The sequence below is a fragment of the Homo sapiens genome, chromosome 16 (assembly GCF_000001405.40).
Source record: "Homo sapiens chromosome 16, GRCh38.p14 Primary Assembly".
Classification (NCBI taxonomy): Eukaryota; Metazoa; Chordata; class Mammalia; order Primates; family Hominidae; genus Homo; species Homo sapiens.
Window position 1 is genome coordinate 88,388,082 of NC_000016.10, and position 14,650 is coordinate 88,402,731.

The window sequence follows — 14,650 nt, forward strand, 5'->3', positions numbered from 1 at the left end:
CAGAGGGGCTCCCCAGAGAGGAGAGCGGCCGAGCAGGCGCGAGGGTGTGGATAGGCAGGTGAGTGGAGGGATGAGTGAGCAGTGAGTGTGAACTCAGCAGCCCCGGCCGAGGGAGCTGTGCCCAGGGCTGCTCCTAACACTCCCCACCCTCAACCCCTCCTGGCCGGTGGGCCAGAGCCAGAGGCAGGATGGGGGACATTCCGTCCCCTGGCTAACTGCTAACAGCGCCTGTCCTGTCTCTGGGCTGTTCGCAGGGCCAGCATCCCAGCCAGCGGCCAAACAGAGTCCACATTCATGAGCAGCCATTGAGGCTTTCCTACCGGCCGGGCACGGCAGCCGCCTGCAGAATGTGACCGTTGGGAGCGTCCCTGAGCGGGGTTTTCCGCATTCCTCCGGGGCTGCTGGGCCAAGGTGGCTGTGTGTAAACAGAGCCTGCGTCTCCAGGCCTGGATGTGGCCAGCCGGGCACTGCCCACTGGGAGGCTACAGAATGGAGCTTCTCTGCATTCCGGGCAGGGGCAGGAATGTGACTTGCTAAGATCCCAGCCAGAGGGGGCGTGGGAGCCAGGATACCCGGGTCTCCATACTGGAGGAGGCTGCCCCATCTGTAGAAGCCGGAGAGCCTGATGCCAGGGCCAGTCTCCATACTGGAGGAAGCTGCCCCATCTGTAGAAGCCGGAGAGCCTGGTGCCAGGGCCAATCTCCATACTGGAGGAAGCTGCCCCATCTGTAGAAGCCGGAGAGCCTGGTGCCAGGGCCAGTCTCCATACTGGAGGAAGCTGCCCCATCTGTAGAAGCTGGGGAGCTGGGTGCCAGGGCCAGTCTCCATACTGGAGGAAGCTGCCCCATCTGTAGAAGCCGGGGAGCCAGGTGCCAGGGCCATCCTCTGTGCCTTACACCAGCCCTTCGCTGTAGGAACCTTTTCTACAGAGACAGCGATAAAGCTCTCGAGTCACATAACCGCTCTCCTACAGTGTGCGCTTCAGTGGCTTTCAGGATATTCACAAGGTTGTACAAACATCACCACCATCTAGTTCTAGAACGTTTTTATCACCCCAAAAAAAACCCTGTGCCCATGAAGAAGTCACTCCCTATTCCCCTCTCCCAGCCCTCGGCAGCCGCTCCTTCCTGCCTGTGGATTTGTGCATTCTGGACACTTCGAGTACGTGGTTCCTACATCCCGCTCGTTTGTGACTGGCTCTGTCACTCAGCGTCACATCTTTAGGGTCCATCTGTGCCGTGGCGGGAGTCGGCGCTTCCTTCGTCTTTGCGGCTGAGCGCTGTTCTGCCCCGTGGACGGAGCACATTTTGTGCACGCACCCCTCCTCCGTTGGACGCCTGGCTTGCCTCCCCTGTCTGGCTGTTGTGAGTCCAGCTGCCGTGAGCTTTTGTGTACCGCTTCTGTGTGGGCACCCACTGTCATCTCTCCTGGGCAGCTTCCTGGGGATGGAAGTGCTTCGTCCCGTGGCCACCCTGGCCTTCAAGGAGCTGCCCCACTCTTTCCCACCGTTCCGCTCCCACCAGTGTGTCAGTGGTGGGAACCTCTTACCCCGACTCTGTGGATGAGGCAACCAGGCCAGGGGAGGGTGAGGCGTTGGCTCAGGACCACACGACTGGGAATGGGGCCAGGATTCAAACTGGGAATGGGGCTCAGGATTCCCTGAGTAGGGAAGTCAAGGCAAGGGAGTGAGTGGCCATGGGGACCTCAAGGCTGTGTCTTTGAACGACAGCGCAGTCCCCCAGGAGGCTCCCCCGCTGTGCCTCCCTGGCCCCCTGAGGACAGCACAGCCCTCGCCTCCTGAACACTTACCTGTCCACTCTCCACTCTCCACATGCAGGGCCAGGTGCTTCCTCAAGGGAGCCTGGTGAAGCCGCGAGTGAGGTGGGGTCGGCCTGCGGAGGGCCCCGCTACGCTGCCAGAGATGACGCTGTTCGTCCTTGCACAGCCTCCTCCCAAGGGACCCACAGCTTTTTTCCGGGGTGGCTGTGTGTCGAGGAGAAAGAAATAATCAGACTTTCGGGGGCCACTAGACACTGGCTCCGAACTGACACTGACTCCGGGAAACCCAGGACATCCCTGTGCTCTCCAGGCAGAGGGGCTCACGGAGGTCAGGTGGTCACGGGGTTCAGCTCAGGCCTGTCTCACAGTGGGCCCAGCGGGTCCTGGGATCTGTCCTGTGGCACCTTCCCCAGTTCTGGATACACATGGGAGTAGGGGCACCCACCAACTGGCAGGGGCCCCATGGCTCCAACCCCACCGAGGTCAGGGCACCTGTCCAGAGCCTACCCAGTGGGGAGCAGTCAGAGGGGTTGGGGGAGGCAGGCCAGACTGCGTAACCCCACGTGGGGTCCATGAGCACTGTGTGTCTTCTCCAGCCAAACAGGAGGCGGCCGCTCTGCCTGGGAACCCCCACTGCTCCTCCTGACCCAAGTCTCACTTGGACACAACCTCCAGGGGGCCTCAGTTTCCCCTTCCTAGGCAAGCTGACTTTTCCTGCACTGTCAGCTACTCTCAGCTGGAGAAAACAGGAAGCAGGGACGGCCACAGTGCTAACATTCGGATGCCGCCGGGCACTGCCCCAAGCAGCCCCTCCAGAGGGTAGAAGCCAGCAGGTAGACTAGGGAGACAGGCCAGTGTGTGAGGATCCTATAGTGGCTCCCTGGGGGAAGGCGTCTCTGAGCTGGGTGGGTTTTGAACGGTGACTGGGAGTTCTCCAAGCATGCCAGATGGGAGAGGGAATCCCCAGGTTCTCCAAGCATGCCAGATGGGAGAGGACATCCCCAGCAAAGGAAGCAGCATAGGCAAAGGCGCAGAGACACATTCCTCTTGGCAGAACTGAAACCTCTGGCAGCTCATGGTCAGCAGTTCCGAAAGACCCGACCCAGGCAGCTGCCCACACCACAGGCCCGGGTGAATGGCCCGCGTCATTCTCTCCAAATCAGGCTGCTGTCCTGGCGATGGGACCAGCTCCGGCTGCCGTCCGCCCATGTCATGCAATTGCATTTGGGAGGTGTGATATAGAATCCCACTGTGCCAGCTGCTGCCCGGGAGACTGTGGCCAAGTCCCCCGCAGCCTCAGTTTCCCCACCTGTTCAGTGGAGTGATAAGATGTGGAGAGCACCTCAATGGTGCTGAGGCAGCACAGGGCACCATGTGCAGGGTCTGGGTGCCAGCACCCCGTGGAGAAAGGAAAGAGCCGGGCAGCACACAGGGCTGGGATTCAAAGCTGCCACCTCTTGCTTGGCAGAAGGGACAGAGCCAGGACAGTTGCTCCATGTGACTGTGCTTGGCTGGCTGCGTTCCCCAGGTCCCAGCATCCACAGGCTCAAGTCTGATCCTGGGCAAAGCCCTGGGGAACAGCGAATTCAGGGCCATCGTTTTGGACAGACTGTAAGGGTTGGCTGTCTCTGCCACCCAAGGCAAGGGTGTCCCTCTCTGGCTTTGGTGTCCTCTTCATCAAGTGGAGGGCTGAGTGGTCCCCACAGGCACAGGCCCAATGCCTCGGGATCGGGAGCCTCTGACCTGTGTAGGTGGGAAGGCTCTTGGGACAGGTGGGGCCGGGGGACAGGAGGCGGCGGGGAGCAGTGCGGTCTGTGGCCCACGGCAAGCACCCGACACATCTTCAGGAGATGCGAGGGGACAGGCTTATGGCGGCCACATCTCATCGGCTTTCAAGAGAAGCCTGACTGAACTTTTCTGTAACATCTCTTGGCTGGAAATTTTTATGAGCATTTTGAACCCTGTGCAGGCAGGCTGGGTTTGCAGTCTGTGGGTCAGAGCTCACCAATAGAAATAGCTAGAAAAATTTAGTATAATATGATATACAACATAATGTAATAAAGTATAATGTAATCTAAAGATATGATGTATGACAACCTGTCATATAACACATAACATGATACGGTATCCTATTATGATGCAGATACATTATATCACATAACATCATACAATATCTTATGCAGGCTACAAACTCAAGCTACCCAAGTGATTTTGGAGCCACATTTAAAAATATGTAAAGAAACAGATGAAGTTAATTGTATTGTATCTGCAAAGTATTCTCATTCCACCATGTGATTGATACAAACGTCAGTGAGTTCACATTCTCCTTGCTGCGCCCTCAGGAAGTCGCGTGCGCTCTGCGCTTGTACCGTGTCTTGATTCTGGCCAGCGATGTGCAAACGCTCCGTGGCCACGTATGCCCGCAGCTGCTGCACGAGCAGCTCAGCCCTGCACCCAGGGTCTCTGAGTGCCCTTGTGCCTTGCAATCCTGATGCCAAACGCCTAGCGTAGGTGCCTCCTCCCCAGCCCAGCCTTCTCACGCCTGACAGCCTTCTCTGTTTTCTCCGGGAAGCCACACCCGACTTTTGTGTCCATCACGGACCTCTTTCGTCTCTGAGAGTTCGTTCCTTAAAATAGGGTCGGTGGGCCTGGATCAGACCCCCTCGGGGGCTGGTTAAGCCACACATTCCCAGCTGAGTGGAAATCAGTGGGGCAGGGTCTGGGGTCTGCATCTGAGGCTGCTCTGGTGATTTTTATGTTGAGCTTTCAGACCCTTGTAAAGCCTCATCTCTTTGTCCCTAGATGCTATGTTTCAGGCACCTGGATGGCAGCTGCTGTCCCCAGACACCCCACTTCCTTGCTCACCACCAGACCATTTTGCTCTTGCTATTCATCTCCACCTGGAATTCTTGGAAGACTCCTATTCATCCTTCAAAACCCACCTCCAACATCGCCCTGCCTTTCCTCTGAGAAGGTCTCCCTTCCCCGGCAGGTTCCCTCCCCAACCTCCCTTGCTCCTTGTAGATCTGTGGTTTGCCTGCTGGTCCTGAGTCCCAAGTCCCTGAAGCACTGACACCTGCTGAGGGTCGTGACTGTCACCCAGCTCTTTGAGTCCCGGAGTCCGCCAGGTCCTGGCACAGAGAGGCCTCAGAGCGTGGATGTGGGATAAATCCAGGCGTGTGTGGGTGGGTTGGTCTCTGCAATCTCAGTAAACATCTGGCCGCAGGGCCTGGCAGGAAGCTGACCTCGTGGGCACCACGCGGCTGGCAGCTGTGGCCGGTCTATAAATACATTCTAAACGCGGACCAGCCCGTGTGCATTCCTGCCTCGCCCGCCCTGGAGTGCCCTCCCAGCGGAAGAAAAGCCGCCAGCGGCCCTCCGTGCCCGGCCAAGCGGTCACTCCCGGTGAGTGGGAGCATGCCCACAGCAGGGTCAGCCCAGGGCCCGCGGCATCCGATTGTTAGCTGAGCGCTCAGGGCCTGCCTGGAGCTGGGAGCCGCATTTAGCTCTGGGAAAGGCTGTCCACACCAGCAGCCTGCTTTGCTTGGATGTCTGGGCTGTGTTTATGCCGGACCGGTGCCTGGGGAATAATTAGAGTCTCCAGAGGGCACCCAGGGGGGCCTGCCGTAGGCGGGAGGTGCCTGGGACCCAAAGCCCTGCTGTGTCCTGTGGCCCAGGGTGGGCAGAGCCCAGGAGCCCATCGAGGAAAGAGCGGGAGTGGGTTCGCCCCAGTGCCGAGCTGCCCGGGCAGGAGGAGGGGTTCGGGTGGGGGTCAGCCCTGGAGCTGTGGGTTTTGTTAAGGTATTTCACACCCTCAGCCTCAGTTTTCCCACCTGTTCCCTGGTATCACAAGTCCTGCCTTCAGGACACAGGTGACAACCAGCAAGGCTGGCAATTGGTCTGAAAGGCAGAGGCCAGGGCCGGTGTGCGACGGCCATCATGGTTCCAACCACAAGTGGGGCGGACGCTGCCCCACCGGTCTCCGGCCAGCAGCTTTGAGGGCATGTGTCCAGGAGACGTCATCGGGGACCCCAAAGGGCGAGCCATGCTGGGGCCTCAGGAAGGAGGGGCTCATGCTACACCTCTGCTGTCCGACAGGAGGGGGGTTTGACACGTCTACACCTGTGCTATCCGAGAGGAGCGGGGTTTGACACGTCTACACCTGTGCTGTCCAAGAGGAGCAGGGTTTGACACGTCTACACCTGCGCTGCCTGAGAGGAGCAGGGTTTGACACGACTACACCTGCGCTGTCTGAGAGGAGCGGGGTTTGACACGCCTACACCTGCGCTGTCCGAGAGGGATGGGGTTTGACAGGTCTACACCTGCGCTGCCTGGGAGGAGCGGAGTTTGACACATGTACACCTGTGCTGTCCAAGAGGAGCAGGGTTTGACACGTCTACACCTGCGCTGCCTGAGAGGAGCAGGGTTTGACACGTCTACACCTGTGCTGTCCGAGAGGGGTGGAGTTTGAGCCACACTCAAGTTTCAGGTGCTCAGTGGCTTCAGATGAGAAAAGAGGTGAAATGAACTTTAATGATACATTTCATTTAGCCCGGCATAACCGCAATAGTTTCACGTTAACATGTGGTCTGGATTTTAAAAAATTATCCGTGAAGCATTTCACGTTCTGTTGGACTCAGTCTTTGAAGGTGCTTCCCGGTCGTATCATGAGCACAAGAGGTGCCCGTGGCCAGGCACCTTGAAGGACAGGCCTGTGGGGTGTGAGGTGGGGCTGACACTCCCGGCCCCTCCCCAGGCCAGGCCTGGCATCTCCTCTGCCGCCTGGTGAGCTTGTCGAATGCTGGAGGTACCTTGTCATTTTTTTGGCCCTGAAGGCCAGGAGACATCCAGGTGTTCAGAGAGTGAAAGGTGCAGTGCCTGAGGGAACAGGGGGCTCAGGGCCTCTCAGAGCGTGACAACAGCATGTGGAGACCCCTGGACACGTCGGAGCCCTGTCACCATGGCTTTCATGTGGTCCTTCTCTCATGGTCCCCGAGATACCTGGGCCCACCACTGGGCAGGCACCCAATCCTCTTTACCAACCTGTACTCACCCCGATCCCTCCCTGCTGTCCAGGACAACTTTACTGTGCCTTGGCCCCAACAACAGCGTTGCCCCCATCAGCCTCTCCACTCTGGGATCTGGGCTTTGCTGCCATGTCTTGGCCAGTACAGCCTCAGGTTGGCTCACGTGCCCCCCGCCGCAAGGAGTGAATCAGCCCCAGGGACCCTTCTACTTTGAGGTGAACTCTGTAGGCAGAACTTCAGAAAGTTGAAGCCAGGAGGAACTTTCTCTTATGGCCATGGACAGCCAGCCAGGGAGCTCTGTAGGTAGGTGGGTATGTGGATGGATGGGTGGATGGATGGGTGGATGGGTAGATGGATGGATGGATGGATGGATGGATGGATGGATGGATGGATGGATGGGTGGATGGATTGATGGGTTGGGTGGGTGGGTGGATGGATTGATGGGTTGGGTAGGTGGGTGGATGGATGGATGGATGGGTGGATGGCTGGATGGCTGGATGGGTAGGTAGGTAGATAGAAAGATACACACATATATACAGATATTGTGTGTATACTTATGTAACATTGTATGTTACACGTATTGTATAAATAATATATAATTGTATATATGTACAAATATAAATTATATAACTGATATGTTCTTGGTTTGGGTGTGCCACTCTTGAGTATGACATACTAGGCACCATGCTGTGACCTGCCCAGGTTCGTTGGTGTCAGGGATCCTCATGGAAGCCCTGTGGGTAGATAACATTATAATGTTATAATTCCCACCGGAGGCTCAGAGGCTAAATGCCTCACTCAGGGCTGTGTGACCAGCAAGGAGAAGGGATTAAAACCTGAAGGCAGAAGCTCTAGAGTCTGATCTTCACTCTATGCTGGGCCATTCCACAGCCAGTAAGAGCTGCCACCATGCGGGGTGCACATGGCCCAGGATGTTGACAGGCATCAGGCCGCACGTCTTTCCTGGATGGATCAAAGGCCATGCTGTGTTTAGACAGGCCCCATGCCCGTCTTCTGCACCTGTCCCGAGGGTCCTGACCCTGGGCCACCCCAGGTGAACTCTGGAGTCATCCCCACTGCAGGTGACGCCCTCCCAGCCATGTGCTCAGGCTTCCTACAGGCAGCAGAGTTTAGGTCTGAGGGCGGACACGGGACCATCTGTCGTGTATCCACTCCACGTCCCTTCTCCCCGTAATCCCACTCTCAGTGTGACGGTCAAGCTGCGTTTTTCAGGTGCTTGTACTTTGGGTCTGTTGAGTGCGAGTGACAGAAACACAACTCATAGAACACAATAGAGAATTTCTTGGCTTGTGATACTGAAAGGTCCATGGAATGATGGACTTAAGGCAAAGCTAAATCCAGGTTCTCAGACAGGGCCGGCAGGTATCTGCCTGTCTTCATCTCCTGGCTCTGCTTTTCTGCACATCAGCTCCAAACTCAAGAGACCCTCCTGCAGGGAGGCCTGGAGGAGACCCTCTTGAAGGGAGGCCAGGCAGAGACCCATCTGAAGGGAGGCCAGGAGGAGACCCTCCTGAAGGGAGGCTGGGAGGAGACCCTTATGAAGGGAGGCCGGGCGGAGACCCTCCTGAAGGGAGGCCGGGAGGAGACCCTCATGAAGGGAGGCCAGGCGGAGACCCGTCTGAAGGGAGGCCGGGAGGAGACCCTCCTGAAGGGAGGCCAGATGGAGACCCTCCTGAAGGGAGGCCGGGCGGAGACCCATCTGAAGGGAGGCCGGGAGGAGACCCTCCTGAAGGGAGGCCGGGCGGAGACCCTCCTGAAGGGAGGCCGGGAGGAGACCCGTCTGAAGGGAGGCCAGATGGAAACCCTCCTGAAGGGAGGCCGGGAGGAGACCCTCATAAAGGGAGGCCAGGAGGAGACCCTCGTGAAGGGAGGCCGGGAGGAGACCCTTGAGAAGGGAGGCCAGGCAGAGACCTGTCTGAAGGGAAGCCTGGAGGAGACCCTCCTGAAGGGAGGCCGGGAGGACACCCTCCTGAAGGGAGGCCGGGTGGAGACCCTCATGAAGGGAGGCCGGGAGGAGACCCGTCTGAAGGGAGGCCAGGAGGAGACCCTCATGAAGGGAGGCCAGGAGGAGACCCTCCTGAAGGGAGGCCGGGAGGAGACCCTCCTGAAGGGAGGCCGGGAGGAGACCCTCATGAAGACAGGCCGGGAGGAGACCCTTCTGAAGGGAGGCCAGGCAGAGACCCTGCTGCAGGGAGGCCAGGCAAAGACGCTCCTGCAGGGAGGCTAAGTGGCCCCCAGGGCTGAGGCCTCTGTCTGACCAGCACAGCAAAAGCACCTCTTCCTATGAGTTCCAGCAAAGGACCCAGGGAAGCCTCTCATTGGCGGACCCGGTGCCCACCCTCAAGCGATCACCATGGCCCTGGGATGGATGTGGTGCCCTGGCTTGTGAGACTGGGCCATGCACTCACCCTGGGACCTGGGACAGGGTCAGTCCCACTCGGGGCTTGTGGCCTGGGAGTGCCTTTCCTTCATCATCTCCCTCCTGCCATGCAGGTCTGCCTGCCCTCATCCCAGCTAAGAAGACTGCTGAGGAAGGCTGGCTAAAGGAGATCGATGGAGCTGGCAAATTTCAGGATCTCAGGGGGTTAAAGGGCAAGGTCGTGTATCTCAATGTTAGCAGTCTTTGCCCCACCATGTAAATCCAAAGCTGAATATTTATAAGGCATATATGTATGTAGTATGTGTATATATGTGTGATGGATGGATGGATGGGTGGATGGATGGATGGATGGATGGATATAAATAAGAGATAGATAGATAGATAGATAGATAGATGTGATAGAGACACATAGATATATACGCGAGGAAAGAGAGAGAGAGAGATTCTCCTCTGTAAGATCTCTTCTTATGGTCATTCGAACGAAGGTGTCAATGTGGAGAATGTTGGAAATCCCCTCCCTGGATGGCCTCTGACTCCCTGCATCCCAGACACTTTGGAGACTGTGCCTGGGAGTGACAGTCGAGGTCAAGAGAGGAACTCAGCTTTTGCTTCATGGCGTGTCATCAAGCCTCTGGTGTCAGGGGCCTGGCTCTCAGGTCCAGGGTCAGAGGTTCTGCCCTGCCCAGAGCCGGGCACAGGAGATGGTGCAGGTCCTCTTCAGCCCGGCAGGGCCAGGCCTCCATTAGCCTCTGGACAGGGCCAGGTCAGAGAAAGCAAAACAAAGCCCCAGAAAGTGCTGGAGGAGGTGACCTCTCTACAGCCTGATGGGCCTCTGATCCCTGCTCCCTGCTGTGGTGTCAGAAGTCCTGGTTGCAACGTGCAGCTCTTTAGAGTGGCAGGTGGGGCTGTGCTCCCTCCACCACCCTCCTCACTACTGGTCCTGTGTTCAGGCCACACACGCAAGACACCACAAGCCACGGACAAAGGGAAACGTGAACCACAGATGAAGGGCGACGTGAGTCACAGATGAAGGGCCACGTGAGCCACGGGTGAAGGGACACGTGAGCCACGGATGAAGGAGGACCCGTGAGCCACGGATGAAGGGACATGTGAGCCACAGATGAAGGGACATGTGGGCCACGGATGAAGGGACATGTGAGACATGGTTAAAGGGGGACCCGTGAGCCACGGATGAAGGGGGGCATGTGAGCCATGGACAAGAGGACATGTGAGCCACAGATGAGGGGTGTGTGAGCCACAGATGAAGAGAATGCGCGAGCCACAGACAAAGGGACATGTGCCACAGATGAAGGGGGCATGTGAGCCATGGATGAAGGGACATATGAGCCACAGATGAAGGGGGGGTGTGAGCCACAGATGAGGGGACACGTGAGCCACAGGTGGAAAGGGCATGTGAGCCACAAATGAAGGGAACACGTGAGTCCCAGAGGAAGGGACACATGGGCCAGCAGGATGGACTTGGACTTGGCTCCTTTGCAGCAGCCCAGGGCATCCGGGCTGGGATCCGTGACCAAAGGTCAGGGCAGATCTGAGGAAAGTGTTGCTTTCATGGGTCAGAGACAAAGCAGAGGACGACAGTCACTCGTCTGCACTCACTCTGACCTGCACTGCCTCATTTCATCCCCACAGCAAACCACCACCCCCCCAGGATCTATTTTTAACCTCATTTAACAGATAAGAAAACACAGCATAGAGACGTTAACCACTGTCAGCTGCCACGTAACAAGCAGCCCCACTGCTGAGGTTCACACGGCAATGGTCTCCCCTGTTCCGAGAGTATGATGTTGGCGCTTCGGCAGGTCTCACCTGGCCACCCAGGGGCTGCATGTGGCTGGCAGTTTGGCAGGCAGCCCACTGGGCCCAAGAGGCTCTGTGTGTTTGCCTGGCAGTCATCTGAGGCTGGGCCTGGGCCCCTCCCTCCCCTCTGCTCCCTCATGTGATGGCGAAGTCTCCAGACTCATATGACATCTGCCGCATCCCAATGATCAAAGCAAGTCCGGGGCCAGCCAGGTTCTGGGGACAAGGATACACTCCATGTCTGGATGGGACACAATGCAGAGACTGGGACCACATTCAATTACTTGCCCAGAGTCACAGCTACAAGATGACAGTGTTGGAATTTAAACTGGGCCTGTGGGCCCACAGGTTACACAAGCAGATGCCCGTGGGCCAGGCAGGAGGGGGCTGCGTGAGAAGCCCGGCTGTGGGTGGCAGGGGCAGACAGAGCCACCTTCATGGGAGGGCCAGGCTGGAGCAGGGACAACCTTGTCACAAGAGCCAGAAATGAGTATCTGTGGTGCCTCCCAGCTGCTCAAAATCACCTAAAACCAAACATTTTCAATAGCAGAACACGCTTGCTGTGGCCAGGTATGAGCTGAGGCCCACATATGTGAGCTGCCCCCAGCCTCACTCCTGCAGCCTGAACCAGCTGTGCACCCCTCTCTGCTGTGGATGGAGCTCCCAGTCCTTCCTTCTCACCCAACGCCCAATCTCGCAGGAGTGCACAGGAGGCGTGGAGCCTGGGACAGCAGCCAGGACGGCAGCCCCTCTGCCAGGTGCTCCTCCGCAGGGCTCTACCCAGGGCTGGGGCCACCTCAGGAGAAGCAGATCCCTAGAGAGGCAGACACCAGGAGCTCTGGGATCCCACGCGGGTCACTCCACCTCCCTGGGCCTGGACTCCTCATTGGGAAAATGGAAGCCACCATCATGCCTGCCTCATAGGGTGAGTGAGGGCCGGCTGAAGTGTGGCAGGGACGTGGGGTGAAGGGAGGCAGTGTCCGGGCCAGCCGTTCATCAGCAGCAAATGCCATCATGCCATCACTGGGGAGGCGCAGAGCCAATGGCCTTCATGGCAGGTGAGGACGGGCACCCAGCAAGGAGGCTGGCATCTGGATCAGCAGGCCCGAGTTCGAGCTCCGGTTCTGCCCTAGCTCACACGGGACCCTTTCTGCCCTCCTTGGAGCCTCAGTGTCCTGTGGCCCCACCTGCTGAAAGCCCAGCAAAATGTGCCCAGGCCTGGCAGCTTGAAGCCCTGCTGCAAAATTGGCCTACCAGGACAACGGCTCCATTTTCCAGATGGGGAGACTGAGGCCCTGCCGGCTCACACCTGTCAGAGCTCCTGCTGCTGCTCCCAGGAGCTGGCCAGACCAGGAAGGAGCACAGTCCCAGAGCTGCTGTGGGTCTTGGAAGCAGTTTGCTCGTCCCTGCTTTCCGGAACCTCTAAGCCAGGCGAGCCCAAAGGCCTTCCTGGGGCCAGGGACCCAACTGCTCCACATCAGTCCCTCCTCTCAGCTGTGAAAACAGAGCAGCAGCAACAGCTGGACCCAGAGCCAGCTCTGTCCCCACAGTCATGGGTCAGCGGGTGGTCGGCAGTGCAAGGCCCCATTCCAGAGGCTGAGGGCAAGCTGGGATGGCACCCAAGGTCAGCCTGTGGGTCCGCAAACAGTCTATCTCTGGGCAGGTCACCTCACCTCTGGATAAAATGGGCAGAATCTCTTCAGATCGTGTTCACGGGGTCACCTGGGAGCATCTTCAGTAACCCCAAGACAGTGGTTACCACCACTAGGGACCAAGCAGAGGGCCAGGGGGTGGCGGGGGCAGGAGATGGAGGGGCCCAGAAACAACCCGCTGAACAACAGGCCAGGGGTTGCTTCTGCAGACCGGAGGGGGATGGAAGGGCATCCACTGCAGGAAAAAGAAGAGGCCATTGTCCCCCACCAAGCCTGGCTCCCTCCACCCCAGCCCCTCCCTGACCCTGGCTCATAAGGCCCTTGGACACTCAGTAGTCTCAAGCAGAAAAGTGCGTTCAGACCCCAGAAGACTGGGTACAGTTTCTCTCTCCCATGGGACCCAGAGACAACCAAGAGTAAATGCAAGAGAGGGGCAACTTATCTCTTCTCCCAGCATTGGGGTATGCAGAGCAGTAGAAGACAGTGCCACGGGCACCGTGCTGTCCAGCCTAACAATGTCAGGGCCTCTCTGGTTGAGGCTGGGCAGTGGGGGACAGTACGGCAGTGGCTTACTCCAGGACGCCACAGCACCTTCAGCCCTGCAGTAAGCCGAGGGCTAGAATAGAGTACTTGCAGGCCCAAGACCCAGATTCTAGTCCTGATGATGGACAGATGGATAGAGGGAAGAATGGATGGATAGGTGGGTGGGCAGATGGATGGATGGATGGATGGATGCTGGGGTGGGTGGATGGGTGAGTGGATGGATGGATGGATGCATGGGTGGATGGATGGATGCATGGGTGGATGGATGGATACATGGGTGGATGAATAGGTAGATGGATGGATAGTTGGGTGAGTGGATGGATGGATGGATGGATGGATGGATACATGGGTGGATGGGTAGATGGATGGGTGAGTGCATGGATGGATGGATGGATGGATGGATATATGGGTAGATGGATGGGTGGATGGGTGGATGGATGGGTGATTGGATGGATGGATGGGTAGATGGATGGATGCATGGGTGGATGGATAGTGGATGGATGGATGGTAGATGGATGCTTGGGTGGATGGATGGTGGATGGATGGATACAAGGGTGGAGGAATAGGTAGATGGATAGATGGGTGAGTGGGTGAGTGGATGGATGGAGGGATGGATGGATGGATGGATGGATAGATACGTGGGTGGATGGGAAGATGGATGGGTGGATGGATAGATACGTGGGTGGATGGGAAGATGGATGGGTGGATGGATAGATATGTGGGTGGATGGGTAGATGGATGGGTGAGTGCATGGATGGATGGATGGATGGATAGATGGTAGATGGATGGGTGGGTGGATGGATGGATACATGGGTGGATGGGTAGATGGATGGGTGAATGCATGGGTAGATGGATGGAGAGATGGTGGATGGATGGGTGGGCGAATGGATGGATGGAAGGGGGAATGAGTGGGTGGCAGATGCTGGATGGTGACTGCAGTCTTCCAGGCACCAGAAGCACAGTGGTGACCCTGTCCTACTCTACCCTCTCCTTCAGGAGTGTCCCATCTAGTGCAGGAAGCAGATTCACCCAGGTGAACAGGTGGATCAAGAACTGGGCCCCAGTTATGCTAAGGATGCTGAGTGCTGTGGGTAGCACCATGGCTGGACCATGAAGTCATGGGAGTGCAGTGGGAGGGAGGATGGTGAGGAGACAGTCTGGGGGCACCAGCTTGGGGAGAGGATGCTACCTGGGCCAAGTTGTGTTTGAAGGCCCCTGTGGAGAGGGACAGTGTGTCCCTGCAGGGGCCTCAGTTTCCCTCTGTGAGTAGAGACTTTCCCAGGATGCTGGTTGCAGCTCAGACCCCTTTGCAGTTGACCTGGGTCTGCCCCCACGGTCAGGGCCTCCACCGTCACCTGCTTTCTCAGGGCCCTCTCTCATGCCAGGCCAGCCCTGCCAGGATCTGGGGGCACAGAATGGGGCCCGGCCCC

The 14,650-nt window shown here is 57.8% G+C and overlaps 1 protein-coding gene across 2 annotated transcripts in view, besides 1 other annotated feature; it reads left to right on the forward strand.

The window, feature by feature from the left end:
* ZNF469 (zinc finger protein 469) overlaps positions 1 to 14,650 on the forward strand; it is a 339,823-nt gene that overhangs the window by 287,151 nt on the left and 38,022 nt on the right. The window lies entirely within an intron of this gene.
* Positions 9,505 to 10,307: an enhancer, noted in NCBI's record as "H3K4me1 hESC enhancer chr16:88463994-88464796 (GRCh37/hg19 assembly coordinates)". NCBI's record gives its function as "activates a minimal SCP1, AML or CMV promoter by ChIP-STARR-seq in naive H9 embryonic stem cells {active_cell/tissue: H9 hESC(naive)}" and the evidence as "EXISTENCE:reporter gene assay evidence [ECO:0000049][PMID:30033119]".